At 34.6% G+C, this 22,255-nt stretch overlaps 1 long non-coding RNA gene across 6 annotated transcripts in view; it reads left to right on the top strand.

Moving 5' to 3' along the window:
• LOC107986108 (uncharacterized) overlaps positions 1-22,255 on the top strand; it is a 279,502-nt gene that overhangs the window by 62,629 nt on the left and 194,618 nt on the right. For 5 of the 6 annotated variants that reach the window (XR_001740831.1, XR_001740830.1, XR_001740833.2 and 2 more), the window contains one exon: positions 17,641-17,695. This is a non-coding gene — a long non-coding RNA (uncharacterized LOC107986108). Of the gene's footprint in view, positions 1-12,463; positions 16,129-17,640; positions 17,696-22,255 lie in introns of those variants that run through there. The other variant, XR_001740834.3, reaches the window with a different exon arrangement.

The raw sequence follows: 22,255 nt of genomic DNA, 5'->3' as shown, positions 1-22,255 counted from the left end.
CTACATGGTTGTGGAGGCTTCACAATCATGGTGGAAGGCGAGGAAAGGCAAGTTACATCTTAGGTGGATGGCAGCAGGCAAAGAGAGAGCTTGTGCAGAGAAAGTCTTGTTTTTACAACCGTCAGATCTCGTGACACCCATTCACTGTCACAAGTACAGCATGGGAAAGACCCCCCCGCATTATTCAGTCACCTCCCACTGGGTTCCTCCCACAACACATGGGAAAAATCGGAGCTACAAGATGAGAGTTGGGTGGGGAAATAGAGCCAAACCATATCATCTAATAAGAATTACAATATAATTAGCCAAAAAAAATTAGAATGGTCAATATTTCTTTAGGAAACTCAATTTGATATAATAATTAATCTGTATAAATTAGATAAAATGTACATATGCAAATACTTAAATTATCTAGATAATTTAAATTGCATTTTTCCAGTTTAGAATGATTAGTACATTTTCTAATACAGATCTGAAAACACAAAACAAATAAAACAAAACATGGCATGATTTTCTACTATAAACTATATTTTTCCATCCAGGATTCTGAATTTTTTTTTCCTTACTGTAACTACTGTCCAAATCACATTTTCTCAAATAGTTCCTGTGTTGGAATGTGAGATATATATTTGCATATTCATATATTTCAATAACTCAATCTTAGCTGACATTATAATCAAAAAAGTCTTTATGTTTAGTTGTTAGTCTTTATTATGTTAAGACTTTGATCTTCAAATTTTGTGCTGTAATCTAGACTATCCTCTAAAACATATTTTAATTTTGTTCTTAGTTTAATCTCTTTGGAAGCTTCTCATAATTCCAGCAGACGTCTGCACTGAAACTGCTCAAGCAAAAAGTATGCAGAGGATGTACATTATTTATTTATACAGATGACTTTTAAGTTGAGGCCAACATTAATTCGACTAGGTCACTGGTTTTGGAGAGCTGAAAGCCATGTAAATAGCTAGGGAGTCAAGGCTTTTTCATTAGCATTCTAAAGCCTACAGTTTCTGAATAATATATATTCACTTAAAAATTATTTTTTTGATGAAAATATATTTTTGTTATATATCTTCATTAGTCAGATTCTATCATGTTTAATAACATGACTTCATGTAATTATCTGATCAGTTATTTCTAGGTGCCAAAACTATTTATACACTAAATTTTGTTAAATACATAGATACCACTGTTTCATCTTCTGCTTTTTTTATAGATAAAGGGGAGCCTTTGCAAGAATTATAAATCAATTCAACAGTCTTCCTTCTTCTTGTCTGTTTGCAATTAGCAAATTCAAGCTAATTTCAGAAATGTTGGAAGAATTTTTTCTTTGATTTTTGCAGACTCACATCCTCAAAGTAAGACTTCTTATGGTTACTTAAGTTGTGGCTGCAGGTTTTAGACCCTTTAAGGGCTTTGCCTAGGGAGTCCTTTCTGTTACAGACAGTTGCAGGTTGCTTCTCTGATTTCCCTTCACCTTTCACCATATATTTAACTGTAGAATTAGTAATGCCTTCTGTTAAATAACATAATGTTCTCTTTGTGAAACCAGCTCACCTGCTTTGGTTATTTAAATTCTCTTCTTTTTCGGCATGTAAATATACTCATTTGTAAGTCTGTTTTTATTTTTCTTGCTCATACTGGCATTTTTGTGCTATGAGCACTGTGCTCTCGCAAACTACAGATTTTTTTTTAATTTCATTTTCTGCAGTTATTGGAACATATGCATTATGTAGGAGTCCCTGTTTTCATCTGGCCCAGGAAACATTTGAGGCAACAACATGATTTGTTTCAACTTTATTAGTGGACAAAAGCCAATGCATCCCTCACCAACTCATAGACTTGTGTGGCATTTTATGCGGCATTCAGGCTAAGCAAACGAAGCTTTGAATATGCTTAAGAAACATCCAATCTTGCTGTTTCAGATAGCAAGCCAAAATACAGGACTTAAACTTATTGGGAAGCTTCTCATATTCCTAGTCTTTCCCTTAGAAAATAGGGTGTTGACTTCAGACAAAGGGCAATAAAATTAATTAGTCAGATTAACTAATTAATTTTTTATTTTCTTTGCTTTACCACACTGAATCATAAATCTTAATTTGATCTTGCTGCCATGCTCTACATATTAATTTTATGTCTCATTTATTTATCTACATGCTTATTTTATTGCCAAAGGAGAAACCTAGTTTTGAAATCTTGTTTTAACTTCTAACTCAGAGAACCTGAGAATCCTGTATCTGATGAACTCTTCCAACTGTGCTATTGATAAAAGTGTCTGTCCCTATTCTGACAATCAAAATAACCTCCAGCAAACTTTCAAATATTTGTAACAATAAACAACTCTCTGGGTAAGGGGGAACAAAGTGCTTTACAAATTTAAGACATTCTCCTCACTGCATACTCTCCTAGAAGATGAGTTACTAAACTTTTCCATAAATAAAGTTGTCTTAATTTCTTTTTTATTTCTCTAATTTCTAAAACTAGAAATAGACAAGTCGGATACAGATCTAACCTTGAGTTCTCTATACCGTAAACACAGTTATAATAAAATTACACTGGATTGTTATGCAGATACACACACATATTGATGTGTTTTGCCTTTCATTTTTAGTTTGAAATCAATTCTACTTTAGTGTCAATACATTCTCAGTAAAAGGGATATCCTACTGTGATTTCAGTATAAAAAAGCCTGATTGAAGTGTCAATGATTCAGCTGTGCTTTGTATTACAAAGTTAAACATGCTCTTTCATTTAAACAAAATGGTTGAGTATAGATGTGGGTGTCAGGACAATAGGGAACAGTGGAACAATTTAAGTACAGGCCCTGATGCATTAAAAAATAAAGAAGAATTTATTAACTTGACCCTGGAAATGACTGGAGCTGTACCTTAAACTCTTAACACTTCGAGAACAAGGTCTTCATAACCAGCACAACTTTCTGAACTTCTACTATGTTTTATTTTCTTGGATGTTATTACAGATGATGTGATATCATTTGAATAAATTGTGTAAACATTTGTGAAAAGGGGTTACTAAATTTAGAAAAAGCCCAGAGATTTTCTTATTTATGTATTTTGAATAATTTTCAAAAGTAGGCACGTGTGGGGAGGCATGTATGGGGAGAATAGATTCCAAGTAGAAGGACAGCAATCTTGAAAATAAACTGCGGTATCTTGGCAAAGTACAGATAGCTGCATGGAGATTCTTACTGTGGCCATTGGTTTTGAAATGACCAATAGTAAAATAATTTGGAGTTTGCAGTAGGAATTGAGACCACATGCTTCTTTAAAAGAATTATATATTATATATATGTGTGTGTGTGTGTGTGTTTGTGTGTGTGTGCATGTGTGAATAGATGTATGAATACACACTGGTAGTGGGAATCGGGGTACACTTTCTTCTCTTGATGGGGTTCATGGGGTTCAGGGCATGCTACCCTAAAATATGGCACCTTAGCCTTTGAGAAAAGAGTGGAATAGAAAGGTCTCTCTGAAATTCTCCCACCTTTCTTCCATGAAGCAGGCTATAATGTAATTATCTGACCTTCTTCTAACGTAGGTCATAAGATCTTCATTCCAGAGAGACTCTCCCTATAGAAAGGATCCAAAGTCACCAAGATGCCAGGGAGAATCTGAACAAATAGGCCTTGCTAAGTTGTTAAGTTTCCTCAAGTTTATCACCTTTAGGTCATAGCCCCTTTTGTCTAATACTTCCCTGCCACTGCCACTTTTCATCAAACCTAAGCATAAAAGCACACAGATTTCCTTGTTTCTTTGAGTATTCATTTCTGAAGTCTCCTGTGTCATATAAAACTTTTATTAGATAAATTTGTATGCTTTTCTATTGTTATCTGTGCTTTGTTATATGTTTTCACCGTGAATCTTGTAATTGATGAGGAAAGAAATCCCTTTCCTCCTACAAGCTCATGATTGAGAGTTAGAAAGCAAAAGTGTAATTTCACCTCTGCAAATAATTACTGGCTCAACCTTTGTTAAACTTTTAAATTTGGCCAGGCACAGTGGCTAAAGCCTGTAATCCCAACAATTTAGGAAGACAAAGTGGGTGAATCACTTGAGTCCAGGAGTTTGAGACTAGCTTGGGCAACATGGCGGAATCCTGTCTCTACAGAAAATTTTTAAAAAAAATTAGCTGGGTATGGGTGTGCATGCCTATGGTCCTAGCTACTAGGGCTACTAGGGAGGCTGAGGCAGGAGGATTGCTTGAGCCCAGGTTGTCAAGGCTGCACTGAACAGTGATCACAACACTGCACTTCAGCCTGGGCAACATCGTGTCTTTAAAAAAAAAAAAAAAAAAAGGAATAAAAGAAAAAAAAAACACTTAAATTTGTTTGTGCCATCATCTTTGAAAGTATTGCACTGGGACATATCCATTACTCTACTCAAAGCTTCTACCCTCTTCTGATTAAAAATCAACTTTCTAGGCTTAAGGTCTCTTGTGTGTAAAATGGGATAACAATAGCTGTATTTTCACAAAGACTCTCCTCAACCAAACTTTGTTCAAGTTCTTTTGAGCCTTCTTTTTCTCTAGGTCTCATTTTTGGTCCCTGTCTTTGGCCTGCCTAGTCTCATTATAGTGATTATCTTTCAAGGTCAATTTAGCAAGCATCCTCCTGTTGAGGCACAGAAAATGATAACCCAAAGTATGGTGCTTTGGCATGCTGAACTTTAAACTAAAGAACATTGAAAGTTCTCAGAAACATCCTCAGAAACAAGGTATGTCTGACCTTCTCCTGCCCTTAACTCTCATTTCCTCCTGAAGTAAGTAATATAAACCAGAATTTGTCATTCCCAAGTCAGGTCATAGAAACTAGAACCTCTTTTCCCCAAAGCAAGCCATAAGTTTAGGAATATTATCCTCACCTTCACCCACTTTTTGGCCTAGGAGCTGGCCGTAAAGAGATTATCTGACCTGTTCTTGTTTGAGAGTAGGTCTTAAGGCCTTCATTCCAGAGAGGTTCTACACCCAGGAGGAAGAAATGCTACAACACAGAGGCAAAGAAGATTCTGAACAGTTAGATATTGCTGGGTTTCCACATTAAGTCTATTACTGTTAGATCTTTCCATTTTTGTCCAATCACATTTTCACATGGTTGTCTCCTCCATCAAATCTAAGCCTAAAAATGGACAGCCCTCCTTTGGGTCTTCATTCTGAAACCCTCCATGTCACATAAAACTTTAAAATAACTAAATGTTTTATTTTTTCTCTTGTTAACCTGTGTTTTGTCACAGAAGTTTCAGTGTGACCTTTATGATGGGCACCTTTCTGACCTTATTCTCCTACCCTTGGCATCTGATCATCCTCAATATCTGATCTAAATCCTCATCCCTACTTTTATTGTACAATTTTTGGCCTACCTTCGGGAAAAATCACGTTAGGCCCATGTTGCAAGAAACCCTCTAGCCTTGATGTCTTCTCTAAGTAATTTTTCATCCACTGAACTCTTCATTCTACTCACTAGCTATAAGTACCCAGTTGTCTTTGCCATATTTGGAGTTGAGCCTGATGTCTCTCCATTATTATAACAGTCTTAACACCATTTATAGTGGCCCAGAATACAGTCTTCCTTACTGCTTTAACAGTATCAGGATTTTTTAAAAATATTATCAGTAAAAATATGTACATAAAACACTGAGCATAGCACCAGGATAATGGAAATGCATAATGTATTTTAGCTCCTATGTCATTATTATCACCATCACTAATGTTTTTGTTATCGTCATCATCATAATCTTCTTTGGGTGTAAGTGTTAAGAATAATGGCTTTTTTCTTTATAATTTTTGATGTGTATTTCAGAATTTTATATACTGATTATTAATTTTATGTTTTAAAAATGAAAAATAACATGTAGGTTCATGAAAAAGGTACTTTTTTTTATCTAATTGAAACATAAAGTTGTCAGAATTCATTAGAATAGATCAGATTATACTTCCCTCCTGTGCTTTAAGACAGTCATTTATTAAACCCCTAAGTAGAGACAAATCGTAGTTAAGATTACAGGTAAGATTCTGTGGCAACAGTTTGTGAAGTAGAACCTTTAGAGAAGGGACAAAAAAAAATAGTATATTTTGATCCTTCCTCTGCAAAAGTTTGACAAGCAATACCTGTCTGCTGGCAAGGGCACTGGCTTTTATACTATACATTTCATGATCTGAGACCTCTTAAAACATGTTGGATACTACCACTGAATAAACAGGTAATTGGGATCCATATTTTCTCACCTAACTAGGCGGCATTTCTTTTAAAATGTGCCCTGCATATCAAAAGATGTCATAGATGTACGGCTTGGAAAGTCATGTTTGGCTGTTAAAGAGGGACAGCAAGAACCTGCTTATTACTGAACCCTCAGTTCTCATACTTTCTGGCACCTGCTTATTAAATTGAAATCACTGTCCAACTGTTTCATGGAGTCGGGCTCATAGTCAATATCTGCATGATCCTAGTGTTCATAGCTTGAAACAGTGGATTGTTTTATTTATTTCAATATTTGAAGAAATTGAGAATTTCCTTATTGGCCTCTATCTGATTTCTAGTGTCCAGAGAAGCTTTACTTCATGTATATCTAATCGACACACACTCACTTAATGCATTACATTTTTTATATCTGTAATGGAATTGAAATCTTAGACTAATTCCTTACCACATTTGCATTTTCTTTCCAGCAGCTGCGCTATCAAGAACATGTTTAAAACTATTTTTAAGTAATTAACCCGTTTGTTATAAAAATTAACCTGAAAAACTTATTTAAACTAAAAGAAAAGGGAAAATTTTACATAATTGTATGAACAAGAGATAACATCATTAAATTTTTTATTTTTGTTTTTCTAGACTTATGCAATACAAATATATATATATGCCTTATCTTTATGAAATGGGGACCTACTTTACATACTGTTTTGTAATTTGTTTTTCTCCCTGCAAAATTTGTCATGAATATTCATTCAGGTTAATAAGTGGAAGTTCCTTTTCAAACATTGCCTTCATTCCTTCATATGCTTGAAGCATACTTTTAAAAAAGCACATCCTGGCTGGGCATGGTGGCTCGCACCTGTAATCTCAGCTCTTTGGGAGGTCAAGGCAGGAGGATCTCTCGAGCCCAAGAGCCTGGACAACATAGCGAGAACCTGTCTCTATAAACAATTTAAAAAATTTGCCTGGCATGATGGTGAACACCTGTAGTCCCAGCTGCTTGGGAGGCTAAGATGGGAGGATGCTTTGAGCCCAGGAGGACGAGGCTTCAGGGAGCCCTGATTATGCCACTGCACTAGAGCCCAGGTGATAGAGTGAGGCCCTGTCTTAAAATTTATTTAAAAAAATCACATCCTACACTTGGATATTTGGATTTTTTCAGTATTTTAGTAATAAAAACAACTTACTGTGAATATCCTTTTCATATATATTTATTCATTTGTCCCATTATATCCATAGAATACATCCTCAAAAAAATATGACTCAAAGTTAACATATAGTCTTTAAAAAATGACCATAAGTTTTCCAATTATAATCTTCTCTTTTGTTTAATAAATAAGTTTTTTTTTATTTGCTTGTTGACACTTCCCCATCTCTCCTTCCCTCCACCCACATGCTACTCCTGGTTTTCTCTCTAGGTTTTGAATTTGTGGTATTTTTCTTTTTTCTCTATTTAGGACTTTTATGTTTCTTACTGTCGAATTTGTAAACAACAGATCAAAGATGAAAACTAAAATAAGTAACAGACCAATATTGCTTAAATGCAAACATGTAATGTTACATTTCAGAAAAATAAAACTTGCAATGATGTATAAAAATAATCTGTAAATTTAAAAACTATATGTCTATGTCTATGGAATTGTGTATATATACACACACACATACACATATATCTATGTCTATGGAATATACATATATATGTCTATGGAATTGTAGAGACAAATACTAAAAATAATAGATAATTCCTCTATATTTAACTCTTCTATTTTCTTGATCTCACATTGAAACTTATGAAAAGCACTCAATCACACTCTGTTCTACATTTGACTCCTTGGGAAGTATATTACATTAACATCTACTGTTGCCAAGGGATTTCTATATAAAATACTTTTAAAACTTTATGCACAGTAAATAGACTAAGAAACCTTTTCACCACTTAGAAAAGTGAATGTACAAAAGTGACTTACCAATCTGTTTGAAATTAGGTCACTTTATGCTGATAGTTTATAGATTGAAAGTTAATACTAATAATAAAGAAAGTAGAAGTAAAGATTTGTGGATCTTGGACAGATTAAATAAAAGATTCACATTTCAGAGTACAGGTGGGTGATTGCAACAAAGTGATCTGACATGTGTCACTCTTTAATCGAGCTATTGAGAAGATTCCAGAGAAATTATGTAATCAAAAGCAGAGTTCTCTTAAAATGAATGACATTTGTTTAATATATAAGGATCATTCAACTTTGTTACTTCTTATATTTGAAAATCCTTCTTTTGTACTCCCAAAGTCCACACATGTTAAATAAGATGAAAATGTGCCAGAATTTTCCACATCACCAGGATTCATTTTCACTGCACTTAGTATATTCGGCTGCTAAAACCTTTTGTCATATTGGGATTTTACTGATCGTTTTAAATACCTTTTTTCCTCTTAACTTTTAAGCCACATGTCTGTTATTCATTCTTGCGTCCCTTGCACCTAGCTCAGTGGTTTGTGTATTAAAAAATGTTCAGATTAAGTTCTGGTTTGTCATCCCAAAAGTTTACTGAGGTAGCTTCTATATTGAGTCTACAAATCACCTAGATGAAGCCAATAGAGAAATTGTACAGGGAAGGTTTTAGACACAATAGGAATGCTTTTTAAATTGTCAATTCATTAATGTAGTGTAGGAGTCATCTTGACAATTAAAAAACTGTGGTTTTACCTTTTCAGGGGGCTTATAGCATTAAAATTTGTTTATAAAACAAAGTGACCTTCAGAAACCAGAATTCAGTGTAGATTGCTCAGCGTCACATTTACATTTCCTATTTTACACATTGCATTTGTTTCTTCTTTTAATTTTAATTTACTTTTTTAACTTTTATTTCAAGTTCAGTGGGAAATGTGCAGGTTTGTTACATAGGTAAACTTGTGTGATGGGAGTTTGTTGTACAGAGTATTTCATCACCCAGTTATTAAGCATAGTACTCATTAGTTTATTTTCCTTATCCTCTCCTTCCTCCCACCCTTCACCCTCCAATAGGCCTCAGTGTCTGTTGTTCCCCTCTCTATGTCCATGTGTTCTCATCATTTAGCTCCCACTTGTAAGTGAGAACATGTGGTATTTCATTTTCTGTTCCTTCATTTGTTTTTGTTGATGTAATTGTGGGGTAACTCTGGATGGGCATTGGTGGATCCACATTTTCCAAGCCTCTGTGTAATCATGGTATTATTATGGTTAACAATTGTTATTAGATCATAATGAGTAAACTCCTATAATATACAAATTTGTTTTTCTGACCTCTGTTTATTACTTCCCACAATATAATGGTTCCCTGAATAGTTGCAGTAACTGATGAGCTAGGCTGTGATATTGCAGAAATTTGTGACTAAATAGAGGTAATCCCTGACTCTAGACTTCCTGTGGCATGTCTTATTTTCACTGTTTACTCTTATTGAAAAGAAAGTATAGGGAATAAAAGTAATAAACATTGATTAATTTTTAAATTTTCAAGTATATATTTCTGACATGAATCATTATTACTATACTTGTAACTCTTAACAGGAATCAGAGCAGTTATTGAAAACACATTTTATAAAGATACTTTTGATATCTTAAATGATTATTGCTGAAGCTAATTTAGCTTGAAAGAGATAAATTTTGTGACAATCTAATATACTTATAGTCTTTGCCCCCCTGTCATTCTCTCAGCATGTGACCTGCTGTTGATTATAATTTAGAGGTAAGTTTTCTGCTGTCACATAGACTGAACTAGAATGACATTTCATTTTCTTAAATATGTATACCCTGGAGATGGTTGGTTAATTATAATGTGAAAGCTGAAGCAGGAGGTGAAATCATGGGACACATGAAAATCAAACACTATTATGTGCCCACAATTTCAAAAGGTTCATTTGTCTTTCCGGAAAACCATGGGAATTTTGGTAGGGATAGGAATACAGCAGGCTTGTCTAGAGATGATCGTCCGGCCCAGAAAAACTGGATAGTGTTAAATTACCAAGACTGTCTTTTTATACTCCATGAAAAATAATTTTAACAAGCGATTGTATCTGGGAAAGCAATGAGGGGGCATGTTTTAGGAGGAAAACAAAGAGATGTAACCTGATTCCATACTTTTTTATTCCTTGATAAAAATAAAGGTAATATGACAAAACTTTTAAAAAATTCTTGATGTTGGATAAATATTATGAACGTTATTCTCTGTGCTTCCAGGTATACTTGAATTTAGAAATTATAAAATTAAATTAAAACAATAAGTGTTAGTAAATGGAAAAGTGAAGGTAATTCTTTAAAAATATCAACTTAAAATTTCAAAAAGGAAAAATCTTTTTATATAACTAAAGTATCAGGAAATATGACCTGGTAAATGGGTAAATAAAATTTGTATTAATTTAGTGAAGTATAGTAGGTAATAATCCTCATAGAATTTTGAGTGCTATACAAATAGCAGATTACTTTTGTATAAGGGGAGTAAAATTTAGTAAACATGAAAAACTAATCTGCATAGAATTATTAACTCCAAGCTATCACTTAAGACTTCAGTCTAAAAGATAAAAGTTTAGAATTTGACTTGATCAAGAATATGACTAAATTATCAATCACTGGCATGTGTCATATTGAAAAGAACATATAAAATATTATCTCAAACTTTAGAACTATCTTCGTGCTTTGCCATCTGGAAAAAAAAATGTTTACAGCTTTAATTGTCACAGTGTGAGACAGCTAGAATTGAAACAGAAAAAGTCTAAAGAAAGGTTGTAAACACAATGCAGAAAAAGAGAATAGGGAGAGATATTGTGTGAGACTTCTTTGGCTATGAAAAGCAAACTCTGGGAGAAGAAGTGAGATTAATATGAAGAAACATATGGACACTATACATAGGGCAGATATCCAAGCTTGGTATAGTATTTGACTGTGCATCCCTTGATAGCCATGAGAGGTTAAGTTGCCTCACATAAAACTGATAATATCTCCTTAGTGTAGATGAGATAAAAATACAAACGGACTAAAATAAATTAGGCAAAATTCATTAGTCATTAATTCAAATGGGAAACTAAGGGAAATGTAGCTGTTCAGAGTAAGAAAACTATTATTCTCTCCTGTCTTACCTACCATGTGACAAAAACTCTCTACTTGATCAAATTTTAGACAGACTCCTTTGAGCCTTCTTTGCAACTAAGCCTTTTCCTTGAGCTCTTTGTTTGACCTCCTTAGTTCAGTTGCAGCAAGAATTCTGCTAAGTCAGGTTAGCAAGAATACCCCTACCCTTGATATCTGATGCCCCCCGCCTCCTTCAGCAGGAATCCTAATTGGTTAGCAAGAACACCCCTACCCCGATGACCCCCTCTTGGTAATTTTCCATCCACTGACACTCTTCCACTTCTTCTTAGCTATGATAGGGTTCAGGACATGCTACCCCAAAATACTGAACCTTGGCATTTTGAGAAAAAAAGCAGAAGCAGAAGTTCCCTCTCACCTTTCCCTTTGTCCTTCTCCCCTAAAGCAGGTCATAAAATCCTCATTGAAGTGTTGCCCTCCTTATCCCAGGAGGAAAGAAACACCCTTATCTGTGAAGGCACAGGGACCCAGAGGAAAATCTGAACAAACAGGCTTTGCTAAATTTCCCCCAGTTTATTACCATTAGGTCATATCCTTTTGTCCTCCAATCATGTTTCTCTATGACTATCCACTTTTCATCGAACATAAGCATAAAAATACACAAGTTTACCTGTTTCTTTGGCCCTTTATTTATAAAGACTCCTTTGTCACGTAAAACTTATATTAAGTAAATTTGTATGCTTTTCTCTTGTTAATCTGTCCTTTGTTATAGGGGCCTCCACAATAAACCTTATGATAGGTTAAAAAAAAAAAAAACCCTTTCCTCTCCTACAGCTATAAATCTCCAGCTGTTTTTACTGTATTGAGAGTTGAGTTGATATCTCTACTCTATTGCAATAGTCTTGACATCTTTTTTTTTTCCTTTTTTTTGAGACAGAGTCTTGCTCTGTTGCCTAGGCTGGAGTGCAGTGGCTCTCAACTCACTGCAACCTCCACCTCCAAGGTTCAAGCAATTCTCGTGCCTCAGCCTCCTGAGTAGTTGGGATTACAGACACATGGTGGCACACCCCACTATTTCGTTCTTTTTTTTAAGTAGAGGGGCGGTTTCACCATATTGGTCAGGCTGGTCTCAAAATCCTGGCCTCAAGTGATTTGCTGGACTCGGCCTTCCAAAGTGCTGGGATTACAGGCATGAGCCACCGCACTAGGCCAGTAGTCTTGACATCTACTGCAATAGTCCTATATAAAATTTTTCTACCAATTGAAAAAAATCTCAGAATTTTTTTTTCTTTAACATACATCTGTTTTTTTTTTCTTCTGCCAAATATAGAATGCTTAGGTCAAACCCATCATAGGAATTCTCATACTCTTTGAAACATGGTATGGAAATAAATGAAATACGTCCATTCAATATTTGTGTCCTGAGTGGCATATCTGTGAAAGGTCCCATGTGTACTCATCACTTGGGAATACAAACACCTTCAAGCTTGTGGACATAAGAAAATAATACACAAAAAAATAAAAAGCATGAAGAAGAGATCACATAGACTCAATATCAGTAAAGATTTTATGAAGAATTGGGAGAATGTATAGGATAACAAAAGGGAGAGGTAGAGTAGATTTCGCACAAAAAATAAAATTGCAGTGATTCAAAACTGAGATATGTGAGTAGTAGAATTTAACTAAAATATAGAATTAGTGGGTGTTGGCGATGGCACATAAGATCAAAAAGGTACAGCATGCCTTTGCAATAGAATACACTGGATGACTACATGAGGAATATACCTCTGTCTCAGAGAAGAGTGGATTTGAATATAATAGATAAGATGTAAATCTCTGTCAGTTACCGAAACATTCCAGAATTTCATCTTTGTGCATCTCAGTTTCCTCATTCATAGCAAAACCAAGTATTTTCAAAGTTTATTTCTGTGGTAAAACAATATGGTAATGATTGTGAGGTGCTTTGTAAATTGCAAAACATTATTATGCAACTGTAAAGGATTATTACTTCTTAATTCACCAGGGAGCTCTTGAAGAATTTTGAGATGCTAAAGAGTATAATCTTAACCTTATTTTAGAAATCCAAGTTATCTCCCTCTAACTTCGTCCATTTATTGGTCAAAGTTAGAGGGAGATAGCACGGGAATAAACAAGTCTATTATGTTGGTTCAAATGAAAGATAAGGAGATTTGAAACACAGCTACATGCAGCATGGAGACAGATTGTATTGAATGTAAGCAACTGATTAGAAATGAAACCAAAAGGAGAGAAAAAAAAAATGACTCCAGGTTCCAACTTTGATGAGAATGTTGTCATTAACAGAGAGAGAAACCCATGAGAGAAAGGATTTAGAAGAAAGATAATGAGTTTGACTTTGAAAGTACAGATCTAAGGATGTCACTGAGTTACATAGGTAAAAATGCCCAACAGATACTTGAAAATAAAGCCCAGGAGAGGACTCTGGGATATAGATTTGAGAGTCATTTATTAGGCATTTCTGGAAAGATGAATAATAATGTTTTGCAATTTACAAAGCACCTCACAACCATTATCATATTGTTTTACCACAGAAATAAACTTTGAAAATATTTGGTTTTGCTATGAATGAGGAAACAGATGCACAAAGATGAAATTCTGGAAAGGTAAAATTCAAATGATTAATCATTTATTAGTATCAGTTGACACAATAGAAATGAATATAGACAGTTGAAGGATGATGAGAAGAGGGCCTCAATGAAGTGTGTGCAGTGAAGAGTTTGGCCTCACCCAAATATAAGTCTGGAGTTTGTCCTCAGCTGCTAGATGGCAGCCTCTAAACACTTAGAATTTTCAGAGTTATGGAAATATCTTCATTATCTAAGGTGGACCCCTGAAACTATACCTATTTTATGCTAATAAGATGATTCTTGGTGAGGATTATCACACTCAGTAGTCTTAGAGTGGGGCCTGGCCACACCATAAAGACCAACCATATAGTTTAGGATAGCAACTATGAACCACATTATATCATCTTAATCTAAAAGTTGGTGGGGAGCTGCAGATGGAGTTCAAATATGTAGGTAATTAATTAATTAATCATGCCTAAATATGAAGCCTCAATAAACTCTCTGGACAGCTCAGCTCAGCTCAGCCGAGCTTCTCTGGTTAGCAGTCCTCCATGTGTATGGTCACATATTGATGCTGGAAAACAACAGAAGCTTTGCCTTTGGAACCCTCCCAGACTCTGACTTTGGTGTCTCTTCCTTTGGCTGGTTCTAATTTGTAATCTTTCTTTGTAATAAGCATGACTGTGAGCATAATAGCTTTCAATGAGTTCTGTGAGTCTCCCTAGTGAATTGTCAAACTTGAGAGTGGTTTTGGGAAATCCCTGTACTTACAGTTGGGATCATAAGTCTTGGGAAACTTGTCTGTCCAGAGGACACTGCCCTAAAGCACTCAGTTTGGCCTACTTGGAATAGAGTTTTTTGAGCAAAGTAACTAGTAAAAGAGGAAGGAAGATAACATTTAGGTAAGAAAACATCAAGGAGAAGGCCAACCAAACTCATATATAAAAGGTATGAAAAGGTTTGTTACTAGTTTAAGTATGACAGAGAAGGAAAGTTTAAGGAATAAAAAGAAGAACAAAGTGAAGGAGAAGAATATAGCTTTTGAATTTAGCAGAGTAAAGATGGTTTCTGACTTACAATGACTTGCCTTACAATTTTTTGACTTTACAATGGTACAAAAGTGATATGTATTCAGTAGAAACTACTACAAGTGATTCATACAACCATTTTGTTTTCACTTTCAGTAGAGTGTCCAATAAAATACATGAGATATTCAACACTTTATTATAACATAGGCCTTGTGATAGATAATTTTGCCCAACTATAGGTTACTATAAGTGTGCTAAGCACACTTAAGGTAGGCTAGACTAAGTCCAGACATTTGGTAGGTTAGGTGTTCTCTTTTCTCTGCAACCTCAACGATGTCTGTTATTTCTTGATCTTTTAATAACAGCCACTCTGTCTGGTCTGAGATAGTATCTCATTGTGGTTTTGATTCACATTTCTCTAATGATTAGTGATGTTGAGCATTTTTTCATATGTACAAGGGCTACAGAATCAGTCTTACCCCAAACCTCAGTGTCAGGCAATTTACCCATGTAACAAACTTACACGTGTACCCCTGAATCTAAAATAAGAGTTAAAATAATTTTTAAAAAGAATAATAGTAGTCAAGAATGCCTCCAGGTTACCTCCACCTTCACTCTATTCCCAAACACTTAACTCTGTTTTCAGCATAATTTCAGAGCATTCTTACAAGACTTTGTGGGAATTACTTAGCAGTTACTCAAAGACCACTCAGAAGACATTTGCTGATGAAAATGAGGTTTGTCTTCCAAATATCACCACTTTAATGAGAAGTATAATTGTTTAAAGGCCAGAAGAACAGGGTTCTGGTATTCATTTTGGGATAACTGGGAGTTGAATAAAAGTAAAGCAAAATGTTGATTTACTCTTTATCTTTCTTACTCTCTGACAGATGAAAATGCCAGAGGATGTAGTGAATTGTATTAACCAAAAATAAAACCAATTCCTTCTCGAGTTTAATTCCAGAATATAATGTCATCCTTCCCTGAACACCACTTTTCTCAAGGAGCAGAAATGCTCAACTGTGTTACAGTGGAACTTCATCCAAGATCATCTTCTATTAAGCTTTACAAATTGCTTCAAAAAGCAGTGGGTAACCATGCTAGTTGTGTGTAAAATATTTAAAATAACTTATCTTCGAGTGTTGTTGGGGCTGCAGATTTGGAATTTGGCAGATCGTCTGTGTTTAGTGCTGAGCTATTTTGGGATTTCTTCAAACTTGAGCAATGTAAGGAAAATGTCACTACTATTATTTGAGTGAAAGTTTTGGAAATGTGCTGATAGGATGCAGTTTTGTAAGGCCTTTTAAAAAATGATATGCAAAAAAGTTTTCATTGTAAAAAAACCCTAACCTTCCTTCTTCATCTTGTTCATTTCTCTGTCTAATAGGAATTGGAGGCTTCTAAAGGCAGTTTCATTTAAATGCTTCTAGCTGGCTTTGCCTTTTATAAGAGGGGATGCTTAGTGGGTCAGCAGTAGAGGGAATGGATTAAGATTACGTCAGTTTGTTGACTAAGTGAACAGATAAATGTATGTAGAAAGCTTAAAAGCACTTTTTCAGCTGAAAAGTTGTTTGTATTTTAGTACAAGTACAGTTAAATGCTTCTTCTGTTACCCTCTGTGGCTGAAGATACATCTATATGTTCACTTCTCCGACTCATCTATTATCTTTGTCATCACACAAAACTCTTTCATATAAATCAACATTATGTTGGCTGGCCGAGGTGGCTCACACTTATAATTACAGCACTTTGGGAGGCCAACACAAGAGGATTGCTTGAGGCTAGGAGTTTGAGACCAGCCTAGGCAACATAGCAAGATGCCATCTCTATAAAAAATTAAAACAATTAGCCAGGTGTTGTGTGTGCCTGTAGTCCCAGCTACTCAGGAAGCTGAGGTGAGAGAATTCCTTCTGCCCATGAGTTTGAGGCTACAGTGAGCTATGATAGTGCTACTGCCCTCCAGCCTGGGTGACAAAGTGACACTCTGTTTCTAAAAATTAAATAAATAAAAAGTAAATTAATTTAAAAAGTAAATAAATATTATGTTACAGATTTCTTCAGATGGGCAAAACAATTGTAAACCATTCAGCAAATCACAAGTTGGAAAAACTGTGTCAGTGCTTTCACTGGAAATTAAATATGTCACTCAATAATAAAGAGTGTGCTTCAGAATTGTCAAGTCTTTCTGTTCTGCTCCCTAGGAAAGTTTAGGCACACACATTTCTCCATAGCCATCAGTATACAGTACTAGGAGTCCCTCTACTTCTTCATGCACAGGCTTTTTTAGTTTCTTCTACCAGGCTGCATGCAAATGAAGAAGGCATATAGTCTCCTTTGCTGGTGGCAAATCCCAGGATATATCTACCAGCATCTAGATTGGAAGAGTTAACCTGTATTGTGTTAGGCGTCCTTTAATTAAGGAAACACAACTGAAAGCTTGTCAAAAGATAATCCTTTGAGTTACAGCAAGTAAGTTGTGATGCCTTGAAATGTGTGTATAGTGGATAATTTGCTGAGATAAATTACTAGTTTGCTTTGCATTTGATCATCAATCATTGGTTGCCATACAAAAATGCCACTATTATCACAGAATCCTTTAGACTATTAATTTAATTATAAGAATAATAATTATAGGTAAAGTCAGGGGTAATAAATTAGAAGTAATTTATTAAATTTATTGAAAGATTTGTCAAAGTTACTTCTGATAGTAACAGAATATTTCTTGGTGATTCTTTCAGAAATAAGCTTCAAATGAAATAGGCTTTCGATGTGACAGTGTTTACAGGAAACATTGTGAGTATTTTATCTTATTGCAAAATTGCTTGCTCAAGGTATTACATGTTTCATATGCAGATTTATTCTGTGTCCTCATAATTAGCTGCATATCTCCATTACTCCTTCTCATCCTGTCGCCACAAAAAAAGTCTGGAAATTCTTGATAGTAGAAAATTAAAATAAAATAATTCCTGTTTAATGTTCCATTTTCCTTCTCTTATATTTTTTATACTTGTTCTCTTATACTTTTGAGTCTTTCTTTGATAGTAGAGTCCAGGATAACTTTTGTATAGGTGTAAAGGTATTTTGGTTTTAACTTTAATTAAAGCTGAGTGAAATGCACAAATAGTAATGTAGCTTGGAAATGAAACATGACTTCAAAATCAGTAAAACCTACGTATTTTTGTTGAAGTCCTGAAGGATATTTTTTATTTGATTTTTACAAAGCCAGTGAAACGTGCAAAATATTAGGTATTCATTGAGCACCTAATAAGTTTGTCAGGCAGCGTGCAGGCAATGTAATTATAGGAATGCAATGAAAAACAGAACTCATTCCCTTTTAGGACTTTTTTTCCCACATTTGAGACATTTGCAAAATACGATGCTATTATTAGAATGAAGGGTATTATTTTAAGAAGAAAAGCTCTGAATAAGGAAGATCATAATGTACCTGCAGTAAGTTGATATACTTGAAGTTATTGATAGGCTGGCAGCTAACAAAAGAAATAATGGAAAATCATTGGAAAATATTAGTTCAATGGTCAAAATCAAATAGAGTATGACTCAAAAGAAAGAAAAACTGAATAATATGTTCCATTATGGTTTAAATTTCCAAACAATAATACCTCATATGATTTTCAGATGAGCCAAAGGAAGAAGTAATGATATTATCTGTAGTTATATAAAAGGATGAAAAGAGACTAGTGTAGATTGGAAAGTCTCTCCTGTCTAGCATCAGGCCAGGTATATATGTGAGTCTATCTAGGTGGGGAATTAAAGAAATTCATGAGTGACTTACGGTCATCATTTTATAATTTGAAATTCAATTTAAGACCAATCTAAAGCTATCTTAGAATATGAGCAGAAAATCGTAGCACATTTTTCCTACCAGTTAGCTAGTAGGTGAACTTTTCACCATTTTTTTAAACACTTTCAGATGCTCAAACTTTAGGTTTATGTGTAAGTTTATAACATCTTCCTAGGCATATAAAATAGGATGTTTATGCCTAAATAGAATTTTTCTGCCTGTATTTTGCATATAGGGCATCCATTTACATAAACAAATTTATATTTTGAGGAAACACACATGGTGAGTTCAATTTAGGTGTGAATAAATAGAAAATATTTCAAATATCATGTCTCGTTGAAATATTTGAACCAAATCTTTCTGGACATAGTGCACTCCCATCTCTCAACTTGTTAAATGATGTGAATCAATTTTAGGTTTTATGAATCTTCCTGAATTTTTGTTCATGAATTGTTTAATTAATACATTGTACCAGTGCCTCTTGTAAGGTGGGACTGAACTTGAGACTATTTGAAAACAAAGTGATGCTATTTGATATTGTTAGCTGAAGAACATGACCTATAGTTAAATATCTTGTCCCAAAGGATGAGAATATCTACTTTAAAGAGAAGATAGAATTAAAAAAAAAAGAAATCAGAGTATTAGATCTGTAAGAAACTTTAGCTTTGACTTTGTTTAGTCCTTTAGCTTCACACAGTTGATGCCTACTCCAGACCATTTTCCAACACATTTCTTTCATCTTGTCTTCTCCATGGAAGCCAGATACATCAAATAAAAGTTTCTGTTATAATGAAAAAAAAAAACTATGTAACAATTTACCAAATGTGATGGGGGGATTAATGCACCTGAGATGAGTACATGGTCAACAAGACAGAAATGAGGACATTTTTCAGCATCAAGAGTCCTAAAATGATTACTTCTATGGAAACACAATTGATAAGTTTCTGTGTCAAGATCAAATCCCTCCTCAAAGATCTTGTATGTGTAAGTTCAATAATTGCAATAACAAGAATTTTGGCTTTCCCATAGTCCTCTTTTTTAAATTTTATTTTTAAAGGTTTATGATATTGAAGAAGATTGCATTAGGTAAGTTGTATATAATGAGCCTAAGATAAGAAATAGATGAGATTTTAGCCTTTGATGGTAGGTACTCTATTTGTGGGTGTGTATGTCTGCGTATGTGTATATCATCTACATATAGTGATATTATTTTAATATCATTAGATTACTTAGACTGTAAAATATTTCTGAAACATTGTTCTAGATAGAAATTCAATTTTACTTGGCTATATGATGCTATCCTTAGGTATTTATACTAGTTCTTATATTTTCAGAAAGGGCCATCTTGGTTTTTTTTAAGCATTTTGCTTTAAAATTTTCTTTTTCTTTTCATAGTCACCATTATTGGTTTGGCAATTTTTTCTTAGGTTGTATAATATCAGGCTTGAAATAATACAATACTCTTAACCTGAGTTCAATAAATTATGAAAATGTTGACGTCTTCACTGCCTAAAACACCCCAAATTCCATAAAATATGAGCTACTTATATTTCCTTTTGTCAAATCAAATTTTTGTTCCTAGCTTAAACTGCTTAGTTATCTACTAATCTTTACCTATCTGTAGCAAGCAGATATATCCCCAAGAGGACTTCATCTTTGCAGATTTTATGTTCTAGCCAACACCCATTCTCCATTTGACATTCCACTTACCTCAGGTTCCCTGACTATCACATGTGGTGAATGAATTAATTTTTATTTTAATAGAAACACTAGTTTTTTTATGTTTGTGGAAAAGGGTTTTATTAACCAACCAACCACATTACCAGCTCTGGGGACCTCAAGATGTATTAGTTTCCTTCTCATTCTCAAGTACAGGTAGAAGAATTTTCTCTTTTCCTTGGGTATACAGGTTTCCTGGAAGTATCATGAAGAGGTATATCTAAATTGAATAAGTCAGAAAAGAACTAAGCACTCAGGTATGCCTCTTGCAAGACATTGAACTAAAAGAATCAGGCTGCTGATCAAATGAAGCTAGTCTGTGCTCCAAAAGTGTTTGGTGCTCAAGAGGTTAGCTAGTCTTTGGGCATGGGTTCAGCTCCCTTTTGATTCCAAAGTACATCAGCAAGGACTCTCATGAGATCTATTGCTATTTTGTGCGGAAGTTTGGATGGTGTGACATGAGACACAGTAAGCAGCTTTTTCCTCTAAACAATCAAATAGTTTTATCACTAGAAATTTTATATTTCTTCCCTAGATGACCAAGAGAGCTTAAGCCTCAAATACTTGTAACACTGGAAAGAGTGAGAAGGAAAAGAAATCCCACTCAAAGAATCTAAAGATATACATTCTTCTCTTCTCAGAGACCAGTTCTCTTTCTCTCTGAATTTAAATTTGTGCATTCTTTAAAATTTTTCTTTAATTTAAAAGCTAGAATACAACTCTGATCCCCCACTAGTAAGCTGAATATAATTTTTTAAGCCTCTGCTCTGTTCAATCTTGCTTATAAAGTTCTATTACTTGAATCAGGAATCTTATTGATGTTTCTATTGTTACTACTCCTGGTACAATAAAGATAATCTTTCCTTTGTTTTTATGACTAAATGACACAGAATTTATGTCACATTTTTCTAATAGCCCCAATTAAGACATTGCCTTTCCGATGCATACAATTTTGTTTGTTTTATACTAACCCTAACTATTTTACTGTACTCTTTTTAAAGCATAATTCATGAAAAATTGTGCTATTCTCAATTCTAAGTAAACTTGTCTCCCGTCTTTTTGACTTCCGCACATGAAAACACAGGAATACAGATGCATGTATATTCTGTCTGTACTGACCTCAAGGTCGTAAACAAGGAGATGCCCTTCATCTGGTAACAAAAGATATAAAATGCCCCTTGAGGGCTGAGTTTGCAAGACTGATCTTAAAAGGTGATATTAATGCCATCAAAAGAAAAACACTTTCTTATGATAGAAGGATCAGAGTGCAAAATATGTCATCAAATGAAATTGGACGCTTGAGGGCTCTTCATAGCTCATAATTATTGATTGGAATAGCAAACTGAGTAATTTGTAGGCCAGTAGCTTGTGACACATTGTATTGAAGAGCCATATGTGAAACTGTGCGAAATTAACAGGAGTGTTGTTACACCTTCAGCATTTTAGATGAGAAACACATGCAGTTTTGAAATTTCAGATTTGCTATTTCAAAAACTCTAAGAGCATCTGTTAGGAATTGCATGATCTAATCTCCAACACAGCACAAGCAGTCAGTTTTTCAGCATGTCATACCATTCCTTAGTAAAGAGCCAGAAAATGAGCAAGCAGGTCACTTTTCACCTCATTAGCACAGCAGGAGGGGGCTCTGGAAAACAAGATGCCAGTAAAAGCCATGGGGCTTGCTAGTATCTTTTTTGAATAACAGAGAAAGGGCCCAGCTGTGTTCTCCTTCTGACTCTGCACTGCTGTTCTTTCCCATGCAACCTCTTCCCTTTCTTTCTGACGTTTCATAAGTTTGACCCCTATAGTGTTTATAAACTACCACGAAGTCC

The sequence above is a fragment of the Homo sapiens genome, chromosome 3, assembly GCF_000001405.40.
Source record: "Homo sapiens chromosome 3, GRCh38.p14 Primary Assembly".
In the NCBI taxonomy this organism is placed as follows: Eukaryota; Metazoa; Chordata; class Mammalia; order Primates; family Hominidae; genus Homo; species Homo sapiens.
The sequence above is the reverse complement of the archived record's forward strand: the minus strand, read 5'-3'. Positions and strand labels throughout refer to the sequence as shown.